Here is a 13,958-nt window from a genome sequence, read left to right on the forward strand (position 1 = left end):
TGTTATATGTGTTGACTAACCTACAACCTTAAAATTTTTATTTATGAGATCACACTTTGTATGCTCATTTGCATGTTGCTGGTTCTCAGTATTTTCAAAAGCTTTGCATAGAAACACATCTAGGACAAGCTTATTCTTTTTAATGACTACAGAGTATTCCTTTTTGTGAATGTTCATAAAAATTAGATTACATTCTTTATTTTACTGTTACAAGACTGAAGTCTGTTTTTCAAATATACCTAATTCAGCTAATCAATTTTTCTATTTTTAAAATGAATAAGAATATTGCCAAATATTACAAACAAATACTTTTAAACTAATAACTTCCATGAAAATGGTTTGTTCTCAAACATAAATCAGTCAGAGAAACTTAGAATTTTCTGTATTTTACTGTGTATGATGGATGAGAAATACTCTGGATAACAGGGAATCCATGGTCATAAGGTACTTTTTATCATGTGGAACACTTAACTTGGGTTTCCTGAAAGATTATATCATGCTGTCCTTAAATGTCCAATACATACTTACAAATTTTGCTGTTAACTCAAGGCTTCTAATTTAATAATTGAGACAAGTGTACCTGCTTCTGTTTTTGAATTTTACTTGTACTTATTTAATTTTAGTTGTCTTTGACATTACTATCACTTCCTCTCATCCTAGCCTCTTGATTTCTTATCTCCTAGGAAACTTACCACCCAGCACAGTGCACTGCATGTAAGAACTTGATTAATCTTACTAGGGTGCTATTTGAATTAGAAATTGTGGCTGGAAATTGTGATTGTTCTTTTTTAACCTTACAAAAAATAGAAAGCAAATATTGCAGCAGAGATGAGGCCTCACATCTAGTTTAATCCTAGTTTTGTCACTAACTAGCTGATTTCCTTGGACAGGTTACTTAAATTCTCAGGCCTCAGTTTTCTCCTCTATAAAATGAGTTATTTGGACTAACAGGATTTCTCAGTCCTGTGGTTTTATATGATGTATTACATTCTGTACAGGAATTTTTGTCAGTATTATACTATAGCTTAAAGATAAGATTATATTTTTAAAGGCAAAATATGTACTTGCCGCATTAATATTTTGCTTGCTTTTAATAGCATTACTGGCCTTTTTGAAACTTATATTCTTCAGAAGTTTGCTGTCCTTTTAAAGTAAAGCAAAAGTTTTAAGATAATCACTAAATCGCTGATTCAGAATGGAGTAAAGCCTCCTATTTGTGTTCTTTTTGCCTCTTTCAGGGAACAATTGCAGTCATAGTCTGTAAATATACTCTCAGAATCTTTAAATTGCATGTAGATATTTTTAAATTAAACATCTTCTCTAGAAGAGTATCTAGCATAGTAGGAAATTTTTATTCTTGTCAAAGATCATTTCTCCTTTTGCTATTAGAAGACATAGAAGTAGTATATACCTTGGGAAGTTGTTTCTACAGAACTTATAAGTTTAGTATTATTTTTACTGTGTAAGAAATAGATGCTGGCCAGGCGCAGTGGCTCACGCCTGTAATCCTAGCATTTTGGGAGGCCTAGGCGTGCAGATCTCCTGAGCTCAGGAGTTCGAGACCAGCCTGGGCAACATGGTGAAACCCCATCTCTACTAAAAGTACAAAAATCAGCCAGGTGTGGTGGTGTGCGCCTGTAATTGCAGCTACTTTGGTGGCTGAGGCAGGAGAATTGCTTGAAGCCAGGAGGCAGAGGCTGCAGTGAGCTGAGATAGCACCATTGCACTCCAGCCTGGGTGACAGAGTGAAACTCTGTCTCAAAAAGAAAGAGAGAGAGAGAGACAGAGAAAGAGAGGATGAAGGGAGGGAGGGAGGGAAGGAAGGAAGGAAGGGAGGGAGGGAGGGAGGGAGGGAGGGAGGGAGAGATGCCATTTTCCCATATTCTGTTGGGATGGATGTTAGTTTAATTTTGGTTACATATAGCCTTGATTGTAAATTATGTAAGTGTTTAGGGGTCTTTTAAGAAGGTGAATTCATTATTGTAAACTTAACTATGAAATAGCTAAACTATATTTAGAAAAATATGTTTGGAATGATTCCTAAATTATTATTTCTAAAATACTAAAATTCCAGTCATTATAAATAAAAGTATTTCATGAAAGAGTTTAGTATCTTAGCTCAGTTTTCTTGCATTTATGTCAAAACAATGTAATTTTGGAAGAGATCTTGACGGTAAATCTATCCAAAACTTAAGAAGTGTCATTCTTCTTTTTTTTCTGGTTGATAATCAGTCTTAAGCTGTGTAACTTACTGTGACGTATGGAGTTAAATCTAGTAAGCACTTACAAATGCCCCATGATCTAATTTCCGCCTACTTCTCTGACTTTATCATTTACTAATCTTTTCTTATCTACTGGCCTTTTTTCTCTTCCCTGAACATACATACTTTGTTCTTGATGAAATGTCCTTTTAGTACTTACTACCTTAGCCTGAAATGCTCTTCTCTAAATTTTTTCCAAGCCAACTCCTTATCATTAGATCTCAGCTTAAATGCCACTCTTGCTTAATATTCAGCCTGAAGTAGGGAACCCATCAATATATCATCATTGTATTTTGATTGTCAGTGTAACACTTGCCACTATCTGATGATGTTCTGATGTGTGTGTTTGTTGCTTCTTCCCCACTACCAGTGCTTGGCACATAGTAGTTACTCAGAGAATAGTTTAATGAATGAATGAACTGAAATTAAGCACTGGCTTCTTTTACTTGATGTTTCTGAAGAAAACAGCCACCTTAATTCACCTAGTCTCTGAATAAGTTCACTTAAATACTTTGCCATTGAATGTCACCTTTCATTTGACAAGTGGTTTTTAAACAAATTGTCAGTTTGCTTGAGCTAATGAAAATGATTCGCATTTTGTTTCCAATAACATTACAATTTTTTTGTCATTTAGATTAATTGGAGGATCTGACAACAAACTGATTTATAGACATTATGCAACGTTATATTTTGTCTTCTGTGTGGATTCTTCAGAAAGTGAACTTGGCATTTTAGATCTAATTCAAGTAAGTTAACACTTGCTTCTTACTATCTTAAATAACAGTTTGACATTTAAATTTTTAAAAACTTATATATTCTAAATTTTCTAAAATGATGTTAGTAAGAAATAAAGCATTTCATAATAGATATTGTGTTGGTAAAAGAGGTCAGAGGACATAGAAACAAGCAAACATTTGATCTGATTAAAACTATCATAACTAGTTTAATCATGACATTTTATCTTGCTCATGTAAGTTACAGCAAGGAGCTTAAGACTCGTGGGTTTCTTAACACATGTATCCAAAACTAACCCTAAACCCTACCTCTCCCTGTCTCCTGAAAATCTTTCATAATGTCCCTGGAACTCAAGGTCAGTCATCAGCAAATTTCTTTTTATCTTCAGCCTCTTCTGTTAATATTACTTTACATTTTGCTCTAAATTAAATCTTGCTTCCCTGATGATACTACGTGCAACCCTTTGAAGTAGTGGCCATTTTCTCTCCTGCTTCTTTCTGCCTTTGAGCCTGGAGGTGTAATCTTAGCTTCTCATTGCATTTTCCAGACCATTCTTTCTTCTCAAACACCTCCAAATTTTATCTTATGTTATCAGACTATACCACCTTCTATCCATTTAGTTATAGTCATCACTCATCTCCATCTCTCCTTCATTGGAGATTTTGTTAAGAATTGTGAAGGGTCTGAGATTTGCTCTACTTGCAAACTAAGAAGTTAACCTGCCATAATTTCATGGATGCTGGCAGAAGGCAGGAGATTTCTGGGCCAGAGACAAAGGACCTTATTACTAATAGCAAAAACATTAGCTAAAGTGACAGCATTTGCTTGCACGAATTCTCTAATTCCCAAAGGGTGATATGAAGAGGTCCAGATGATACCTGCACACACAGTGGATTAAATGACAGATGAGGAACGCCAAGTTTAGGGAACTGGAATCTTTTATAATGGATACTAAGCATGTCTGCCCTTGTTTGGAAGGAAGACTGTCTCTTCCAAGAGTGTAAGGAAACCTATCCTTTGCTGTGGAAGAAGACACTGTCTATTTTCCAGGGCTGTTTGATATACAAGCATGCTTAAAAAGATAGCCCAGAACAAAGACAGTCAATGCCTCTGCTCACAATACGTGTGGAAACACAAGATCCATCTAAAATTGTCTCCTAATAGATTTTGGTTCTTGGTTCCCTGGCATTCATTCCAGTACTGCTTGTTTTGTAATTCTTGGTGATTCCATTGTTCATATGTATAATTCTCCCAATATCCTGGTGTCTTCAAAATCTGGAACTCCTCTCTTCCAATAAATTTTGCCCTCCACTCCATCTCACTATGTACCCATTTCTAGATTTTATCTTTGTCTAAACTGTAACCCCTCCATAATCTCAATTTCACAGTTTTGAAGTCGTTAGACCTATTGCAACCCTCAGTTTTAAAAATCCATCATTTTTTTCACTCTGATTTTACTGATGTCTTACTTTCCTTATCCAGCTTAAATTTCATAATCATGGTAGTGATATAGCCTTGTGTACACTGAACTCCTTGCCCACACCCATACATCTGAACATACCTAGAGGAAAAAAAAAAGTAACCATATTTACCAGTCTCACTTTAAATTAATGATCCCTTAGCTCATTGAGTCCTTTATGCTACGCAAGAATCATTTTCTGTTTCCCCGGTCCATTTACTCTCCCATACCTCTAGATGACTACTCATACAGTCTCCTCTCTCCTAAAATATCTAGCACTTCTAGCACCTTGCTTCCCAGTGCACAGATAAAATTGGCTTTTGAAGTTAGCAAGAAGGTGGCATGGTTTGAGCTCTAGTTGGCGTTACAGAATAGACAAGAAATTAACCCAAGCAGACAACTTAGGTAACAAATTCTTAGCACTGTGGCTAAGGCTTTAAAAATAAAAACATTGTGGCCAGGTGTGGTAGTTCACACCTGTAATCCTAGCACTTTGGAAGGCTAAGCTGAGCAGATCACTTGAGCCCAGGAGTTCGAGACCAGCCTGGGCAACCCCATCTCTACAAAAATTAGACAGGCATGCTGTTCTGCACCTGTCGTCCCAATCACTTGGGAGGCTGAGGCGGGAGCCAGGGAGGATGGCTTGTAGTGAGCTGAGATTGTGCCACTCACTCCAGCCCAGGTAACAGAGTGAGACCCTGTCTCAAAAAAAATAGAAATAAAAACATTGTTAATAAAATAAAAAAGGAGATAAATGATAAATTGATCTATTTGTATGCCATATTACTCTTAAATCTGTAATTCTTAAACTGGGTTTTTGGGAGGAGCTGGGTATCAAAGTTACATGAAACCACAAGGTAATCATGGCACATATTCCTGGTATATGTTTCTTCTTTGTTTTGAAGATTGGCGGCAGTGAGGAAATGAACGTAAACATGTATATATTATGAGGTAGAATACAAATTTTTCATAATATTTAAAGCTCTAAGTGGAGACTTGAAAGAAATTTTGAGCTTGAGGTAAAGGTGCCCCAAGATCCCTTGGGTATATGTTCACTTTCCTCCTGGGGCCTACTTGAGAAACACTGCTGAGTTATGTTTTGCTTTCTCAAGGCTTTTCTAGTAAAGAAAAAGAAGCCAAATCTTACTTTTGATGACATTGAAGGGTTGATCAGGACTATATATTGCATTGCCTTGTAACTTTGTTTATTCTTACATTTCTTAGTTTATCCCACCTAGGGGAGTAGTTAATTCATTTTATCATTATGTCAAGAGAGCATTATATTTTTACAGAAAAAAAATTAATATAGAACCATGCTTTCTATTTCTCTGTTTCCCATGACTGAAGAGAGTGGTAGACATGCACACTATGTTCCAAAACACTGTTTTTATTTACCTGAGCCTAGCCACTAGAATTACAGGAAGAAAAACAGGAGAAAGTGTACCATTTCAAATTTAGTCTCTTATTGAAGAGAAATGTTGCTATTAAGAAAGACCAAAACAAATGTGTCTTTTCCTAGAGGTAAATCAGAAGTATTTTATGCTTGCGTCCTGAGATTAAGTCATCACCATTGATTATTATTTTGATGCTGTTGTTGATCTTCTTATGAGAAAGTAGTTCTATCTCCAAAGGGGATTAGATGGGGAGTTTTCAAAGAACAAACATGGTATTAATATATCATATCCAAAGTAAATTCTGTCATGTACTCGTGGAAAGTAGAAACTATCTTTTGTGTTTTGCAAAATTTTTTATCCATGCTTCACACGTTGATCACTTGTTTTGATATTAGATAACATACAGAAGAAAGGATTTCAGGAGGACTTTGTCATTTTCCGATTACTAAAGTAGGCTAGAGCTGTTTTTACAATACCCCTGAGTTACCACATGCTGATGTATTGTGTCACAAAAAAGAAGATTTCTGTAATTCACCTTATAGGTACTATGTCTGTCACTATCAGGAACATGTTGGAAGTTCTGTGGTTGTGATCTTTCCCCTTCAATTACCACAGTTCATTAAATACTGAAGAGGGAGTGTACTGAGCACACATGAGTCAGTCACTTTAAAAAACATCAGTTGAATAAACAAAGATGGAAGTGCATAGCTTATTATTTCTGCTTCTGTTTCATCAAATAGCTATTCAGAGAGAACTGATTTTCTTAATTTGTTCATCCTCTAGTTTTTAGAAAGGCAATTTTAATGTAAAAAGTAAAAGTGGAAAATTATAAACCAAGAGAGTTTACATCAAAACCTCTTGGTCTTGCATATTCTTTTAGAGAACAGATCAAGAAAACTCAATATGTAACTATTAAACCTATGCTTATAATTTTGATATTTTAAATATCAAAGTGATACCATTCATATAACTGGAAGCATATATTTTAATGCAGAGAGTTAGTGTCTCTAAGGTATGCATATGTTGTCCCAAATATGACTTTGTATCTGTATAAAATCTGGGAGAAGGCATTATTAATAAATTCGTTATGGAATTTACACCGCTATTCCACCAGTACTGAATTTACATTGGTAGTCCACAGAATTTACACCAGCTACCCAAACGAATGATCAGTTTTTGTTTTCTTTTGTTTCTTTTTAAAAATTCCTTGTAAGTTTGGAAAAAAGGGGTGGACTTTTTTTTATTGATATATACCATTTTAGTGTGATATTAACTGCTATGTATGCCATATATGCTAGAGTTAATAGCTAGCTTTTTAAGGAGTCCTTTCTGTTGTAGCATATTGTTATTGGAAGTGTTAAAATATTTACAGGATGAGAATAGAAGTTTATTAAATATTAATGTTGGGTTGAGTTATTTATAAGCAGTTGTATTGTCCTTAATTAGTTTATTATGCCAAGCTGATAATGGAGGCATATAAATTCACTGGATAATTCCAAATCTCTGTTACAGTTTTCTGTACCACATGTAACAGTAATCAGAGCATCAGTCTTATTCAGTTGTAGCTAGATTAAAAAAACAACAAAATTGAGAACTAACAGCTAAACTTTCTTTAGGTTTAGAAAGATACGTTCTGACCATGTTGTTAGAATGTATATTTAAACTGGAGCTCCATATATAATATTTGTTATTATTACAGTACTGTTAAACTACCTTTTGAGGAATTATTTTATTCATGGCTGCTAATGCTCATTTAGTATGATGTTGAGCAAGTTATTTATTCTTTATAGACCTTAATTTTTTTTTTAACTTTACATGCTTGTTTCAACATGTTGCCTACAGACAAGAGGTTGTTAGAAAGACCTGTGAATTAAAGCTATCTATTATCTTGTAGTGGTTAAAACCATTTAGCTCTGCCATATACTATGTAATTTTGGCAAGTTATTTAACCTCTTTGACCCTAACTTTCCTCATCCACAAAACAGGGATAATAATAATAACACCAATTCACAGAGTAGGTGTGAGCGTTAAAAAAAGATATTTCATGTGAAACCCATGACTAAATGATTAACATTTCAGTGGTTTTTAGCTAACATTATCACTAAAGCATATATTTGTAAGAAAGGCATATAAAATATTATTTTGTTAGTACACAAACTGAAGTAAATATGTTTTTTTTTAATCTTTCTGACTTTCTCATTGTTAGAAGCATTTTTGAATCTTTTTATCCTATATGTTGTTTGATGGCTTGGAATGAATTTTATATGACACATTTATGTGATAAGAAATAGTCTTCATTGGGGAAATTTATAAGCCAAGAATACTTAAGTGAGGAAAGGTCTCTGATCTTCCCAGCATCACCTGGCAAATTATGGCGAGGTAGGTACTTCTGACCGACTGAATATACAGTGGTGTGCCGATGAAGGCCCACCCAATTATGGTTCTCATCTATCATGATGGTAGGCCTGAAAGCACACTTGGTGGTGGGGTGACAGATACACTGTTTAAGCCTTGGGCTATGTAGGTTTGGGTACCACCTGTTTTTTAAAATTGCCTAGGAAAACCGACTGTCCAGCACTTGGAAATTGTGGGAATTTGCAACTCTCCTGTTGGAGATGAACCAACTCTTGGTCCCAGAGGAAGATGAGTTTCTGGTGCAGTTCCTCCTGCTGGAGCAAGAGGGATTCCTGGCCTAGCGAGCTTATTTTCCAGGCACTCAAGTGAATGCCCAGGATCATTTTAGGAAAATTCTGCCTCCTACATTATACTGTATTACCAGGTTATTTAAAACTTTCTGTTTTCAGTAAGATTTGTTTCTCATGTATTTTTGGGCAACCCCCAGTTTTTTTAAAATAGTTTGGGTCAGATTGTTAGAGTTGTGCAGGATTCCTAAAATTATTTTCCTGTGTTATTTTCATGCTTGAGAAGTCTGATTTCCAGCAATTGCAAATATAATAATTCTCAGTTATTTACATTGCTATTTGTGACAAATCCTGGTATCAAATTTGATGATAACTGCTTTTCTAATTTACATGTTTCATTGATGTCTTAGCAGTTCTTTTAGGAGGCATCATGGCGTCAGGTTTAGAGTGTCAGGGTGTTAGAGTCAGGTAGTATGGATTTGAATCTTGGCTCTGTCACATAACAGTTATATAACTTTAGGCAATTACTTAACCTCATCTGTCCCCAGTTTTCTTTTTTGTAAGTGCTGATATTCATACTTATCTCACCAGCATTGTTGTAAGAATTAGAACTAATTTATATAAACAATCAGCAAATGGTCTAGAATATAGTAGACACGCTTTTCTTAGTTACTTCACAGTAGTGAAGGAAGTAGTTTAGAACTCAAGTGCTTAAAGTCAGAGTTTTGGAGCTGGAAGTGACTTAAAATTTATTTTCTTCCCTTCAATGTAGGTTTAAGAGAAAAACTCAGGTTATGTTGGTCTTTTTCTTTGATTTAAGGTAAATTCATCATGTCCTAATGTAGAATGGTTGGTTTTCAGGAAGGAATTGGACATGGTGGAGAGACTCCCCAAATTTAACATTAACCACAGTACAGCTATTAACCCAAGAAATTAACATTGATACACTACTATATAATCTGTAGGCCTTGTTTACAATTTGCCACTTGTCCCATTCAAATGTCCTTTTTCTCATTCTGGATGTAATTCACACATTCCATTTAGCTGCCATGTCTTCTTAATCTCCTTTACTGTGTAACAATTCTTTAACTTTGTCTTTCATTCATGTCTTTCATATACTGATCCTTTTGATGAGTACTAGCCAGTTATTTTGATATTCCCCAATTTGGGTTTGTTTGATACTTCTTAATGATTTAGATTGTGCATTTTGGGCAAGAATACCACAGAAATAATGTTATGTCCATAGTGCATCATATCAGGAGGTATATGATGTCCATTTGTTCCACTACTTGTGATATTTGTGATGATCACTTGGTTAAGTTTGAGTCCAACAGGTTTATGCACCATAAAGTTTCATTTTCCCATGGTGCTAGTATTTTTATGGGGAATATTTGAGACTATGTAAATATACTTTTTCTAGTCATATATTTGTTAATTCATCTTAATATCTATTGATCATTCTTACCTAAAAGAATTATTAATATTTATGGTGTTTACCAAATGGTGGGGTTTTTTTCTATCATACCTCAATATTTAATAGTTGAAATTCTCCTGTGAGGAAAAGCTTTGTAATATATATATATTTTTATTGTACTTTAAGTTCTGAGATACATATGTAGAAGGTGTAGGTTTGTTACATAGGTATACACATGCCATGGTGGTTTCCTGCACCCATCAACCCGTCATCTACATTAGGTAGATGTAGGACAGCATTATCTTCTAATGCTATCCCTCCCCTAGCCCTCCACCCCCTGACAAGTCCCGGTGTGTGATGTTCCCCTCCCTGTGTCCATGTGTTCTCATTGTGCAACTCCCACTTATGAATGAGAACATGCAGTGTTTGGTTTTCTGTTCCCGTGTTCGTTTGCTGAGAGTGATGGTTTCCAGCTTCATCCATGTCCCTGCAAAGGACAGGAACTCATCCTTTTTATGGCTGCATAGTATTCCATGGTGTATGTGTGCCACATTTTCTTTATCTACTCTATCACTGATGGGCATTTGGGTTGGTTCCAAGTCTTTGCTATTGTGAACGGTGCTGCAGTAAACATATGTGTGCATGTGTCTTTATAGTAGAATGATTCGTAATCCTTTGGGTATATACCCAGTAATGGGGTTGCTAGGTCAAATGGTATTTCTGGTTCTAGATCCTTGAGGAATCACCACACTGTCTTCCACAGTGGTTGAACTAATTTACACTCCCACCAACAGTGTAAAAGCGTTCCTGTTTCTTCACATCCTCGCCAGCATCTGTTGTTTCCTGACTTTTTAATGATCGCCATTCTAACTGAATGAGATGGTATCTCATTGTGGTTTTGATTTGCATTTCCATAATGACCAGTGATGATGAGGTTTTCTTCATATGTGCGTTGACTGCATAAATGTCTTCTTTTGAGAAGTTTCTGTTTATATCCTTTGCCCACTTTTTGATGGGATTGTTTGCTTTTTCCTTGTAAATTTGTTTAAGTTCCTTGTAGATTCTGGATATTAGCCCTTTGTCAGATGGCTAGATTGCAAAAATTTTCTCCCATTCTGTAGGTTGCCTGTTCACTCTGATGATAGTTTCTTTTGCTGTTCAGAAACTCTTTAGTTTAATTAGATCCCATTTGTCAATTTTGGCTTTTGTTGCAATTGCTTTTGGTGTTTTAGTCATGTAGTCTTTGCCCATGCCTATGTCCTGAATGGTATTGCCTAGGTTTTCTTCTAGGGTTTTTATGGTTTTGGGTCTTACGTTTAACTCTTTAATCCATCTTGACTTAATTTTTGTATAAGGTGTAAGGAAGGGGTCCGCTTTCAGTTTTCTGCATATGGCTAGCCAGTTTTCCCAACATCTATTAAACAGGGATCTTTTCCCCATTTCTTGTTTTTGTCAGATTTACCAAAGGTCAGATGGTTGTAGATGTGTGGCATTATTTCTGAGGCCTCTGTCCTGTTCCCTTGGTGTGTATACCTGTTTTGGCACCAGTACCATGCTGTTTGGGTTACTCTAGCCTTATAGTATAGTTTGAAGTCAGGTATTGTGATGCCTTCAGCTTTATTCCTTTTGTTTAGGATTGTCTTGGCTGTACAGGCTCTTTTTTGGTTCCATATGAAGTTTAAAGTACTTTTTTGTAATTCTGTGAAGAAAGTCAATGGTAGCTTGATGGGGATAACATTGAATCTATAAATTACGTTGGACAGTGTGGCCATTTTCACGATACTGATTCTTCCTATCCATGAGCATGGAATGTTTTTCCATTTGTTTGTGTTCTGTCTTATTTCCTTGAGCAGTAGTTTGTAATTCTCCTTGAAGAGGCCCTTCACATCCCTTGTAAGTTGTATTCCTAGGTATTTTATTCTCTTTGTAGCAATTGTGAATGGGAGTTCACTCCTAATTTGGCTCTCCGTTTGTCTATTATTGGTGTATAGGAATGCTTGTGACTTTTGCACATTGGTTTTGTATCCTGAGACTTTGCTGAAGTTACTTATCAGCTTCAGGAGATTTTGGGCTGAGACTATGGAGTTTTCTAAATATACAATCATGTCATCTGCAAACAGAGACAGTTTGACTTTCTCTCTTCCTCTATGAATACAGTTTATTTCTTTCTCTTGCCTGATTGCCCTGGCCAGAACTTCCAATACTGTGTTGAATAGGAGTGGTGAGAGAGGGCATCCTTGTCTTGTGCCAGTTTTCAAAGGGAATGCTTCCAGCTTTTGCCCATTCAGTATGATATTGGCTATGGTTTTGTCATAAATAGCTCTTATTATTTTGAGATATGTTCCATCTATACGTAGTTTACTGAGAGTTTTTAGTGTGAAGGGGTGTTGAATTTTATCAAAGGCCTTTTCTGCATCTATTGAAATAATCATGTGGTTTTTGTGACTGGTTCTGTTTATGTGATGGATTACGTTTATTGATTTGCGTATGTTAAACCAGCCTTGCATCCCAGGGATGAAGCCGACTTGATTGTGTTGGATAAGCTTTTTGATGTGCTGCTAGATTCGGTTTGCCAGGATTTTATTGAGGATTTTCGCATCAATGTTCATCAGGGTTATTGGCCTAAAATTCTCTCTTTTTTCTTGTGTCTCTCTCAGGCTCTGGTATCATATCAGGATGATGATGGCCTCAAAAAATGAGTTAGGGAGGAGACTCTCTTTTTCCATTGATCGGAGTAGTTTCAGAAGGAATGATACCATCTCCTCTTTGTGCCTCTGGTAGAATTCGGCTGTCAACCTGTCTGGTCCTGGGCTTTTTTTGGTTGTTAGGCTATTAATTACTGCCTCAATTTCAGAACTTGTTATTGGTCTGGTTCAGAGATTCGACTTCTTCCTGGTTTAAGTCTTGGGAGGGTGTATGTGTCCAGGAATTTATCCATTTCTTCTAGATTTTCTAGTTTATTTGCGTAGAGTTGTTTATAGTATTCTCTGATGGTAGTTTGTATTTCTGTGGGATCAGTAGTGATATCCCCTGTATAATTTTTTATTGTGTCTATTTGATTACCCTTTTCTTCTTTATTAGTCTGGCTAGTGGTCTATATATTTTGTTAGTCTTTTCAAAAAACCAGCTCCTGGAGTCATTGATTTTTTGAAGGGTTTTTCATGTCTCTGTCTCCTTCAGTTCTACTCTGATCTTAGTTATTTCTTGTCTTCTGCTAGCTTTTGAATTTGCTCTTGCTTCTCTAGTTCTTTTAATTGTGATGTTAGGGTGTCGATATTAGATCTTTCCCGCTTTCTCCTGTGGAGATTTTAGTGCTATGAATTTCCACTGAAACACTGCTTTAGCTGTGTCCCAGAAATTCTGGTACATTGTATCTTTGTTCTCATTGGTTTCAAAGAACTCATTTATTTCTACCTTAATTTCATTATTTACCCAGTAGTCACTCTGGAGCAGGTTGTTCAGTTTCCATGTAGTTGTAAGGTTTTGAGTGAGTTTCTTAATCCTGAGTTCTAATTTGATAGCACTGTGGTCTGAGAGTCTGTTCATTATGATTTCTGTTCTTTTGCATTTGCTGGGGAGTATTTTACTTCCAATTATGTGGTCAATTTTAGAATAAGTGTGATGTGGTGCTGAGAAGAATGTATATTCTGTTGATTTGGGGTGGAGCATTCTGTAGATGTCTATTAGGTCCACTTGGTCCACAGCTGAGTTGAAGTTCCGAATATCCTTGTTAATTTTCTGTCTTGTGGATCTGTCTAATATTGACAATGGGGTGTTAAACTCTCCCACTATTATGTGGGAGTCTGAATCTCTTTGTATGTTTCTAAGAACTTGCTTTATGAATCTGGGTGCTCCTGTGTTGGGTGCATATATATTTAGGAAAGCTAGCTCTTCTTGTTGGGTTGATCCCTTTACCATTATGTGATGCCCTTCTTTGTCTTTTTTGATCTTTGTTGGTTTAAAGTCTGTTTTATTGGAGACAAGGATTGCAACCCCTGCTTTTTTTTTTGCTTTCCATTTTCTTGGTAAATATTCCTCCATACCATTATTTTG

The 13,958-nt window shown here is 35.9% G+C and overlaps 1 protein-coding gene across 15 annotated transcripts in view, besides 1 other annotated feature; it reads left to right on the forward strand.

Moving 5' to 3' along the window:
* Positions 1 to 13,958, forward strand: part of AP3S1 (adaptor related protein complex 3 subunit sigma 1) — a 72,147-nt gene that overhangs the window by 25,187 nt on the left and 33,002 nt on the right. For 14 of the 15 annotated variants that reach the window (NR_157085.1, NR_157084.1, NR_157086.1 and 11 more), the window contains one exon: positions 2,896 to 3,007. The exons of the other annotated variant lie outside the window; for it this stretch is intronic. Coding sequence is in view for 10 of the 14 variants with exons in the window: in NM_001002924.3 (NP_001002924.2) it covers positions 2,896 to 3,007 (112 nt within the window). In the remaining 4 variants the exon portion in view is untranslated. The remainder of the gene's footprint in view (positions 1 to 2,895; positions 3,008 to 13,958) is intronic. 15 annotated transcript variants of the gene reach the window in all.
* Positions 13,373 to 13,570: a silencer, noted in NCBI's record as "fragment chr5:115216191-115216388 (GRCh37/hg19 assembly coordinates)". NCBI's record gives its function as "represses an EF-1alpha promoter that drives an FKBP-Casp9 reporter gene in an ReSE screen in K562 erythroleukemia cells {active_cell/tissue: K562}" and the evidence as "EXISTENCE:reporter gene assay evidence [ECO:0000049][PMID:32094911]".

This window comes from Homo sapiens, chromosome 5, assembly GCF_000001405.40.
Source record: "Homo sapiens chromosome 5, GRCh38.p14 Primary Assembly".
Lineage (NCBI taxonomy): Eukaryota > Metazoa > Chordata > Mammalia > Primates > Hominidae > Homo > Homo sapiens.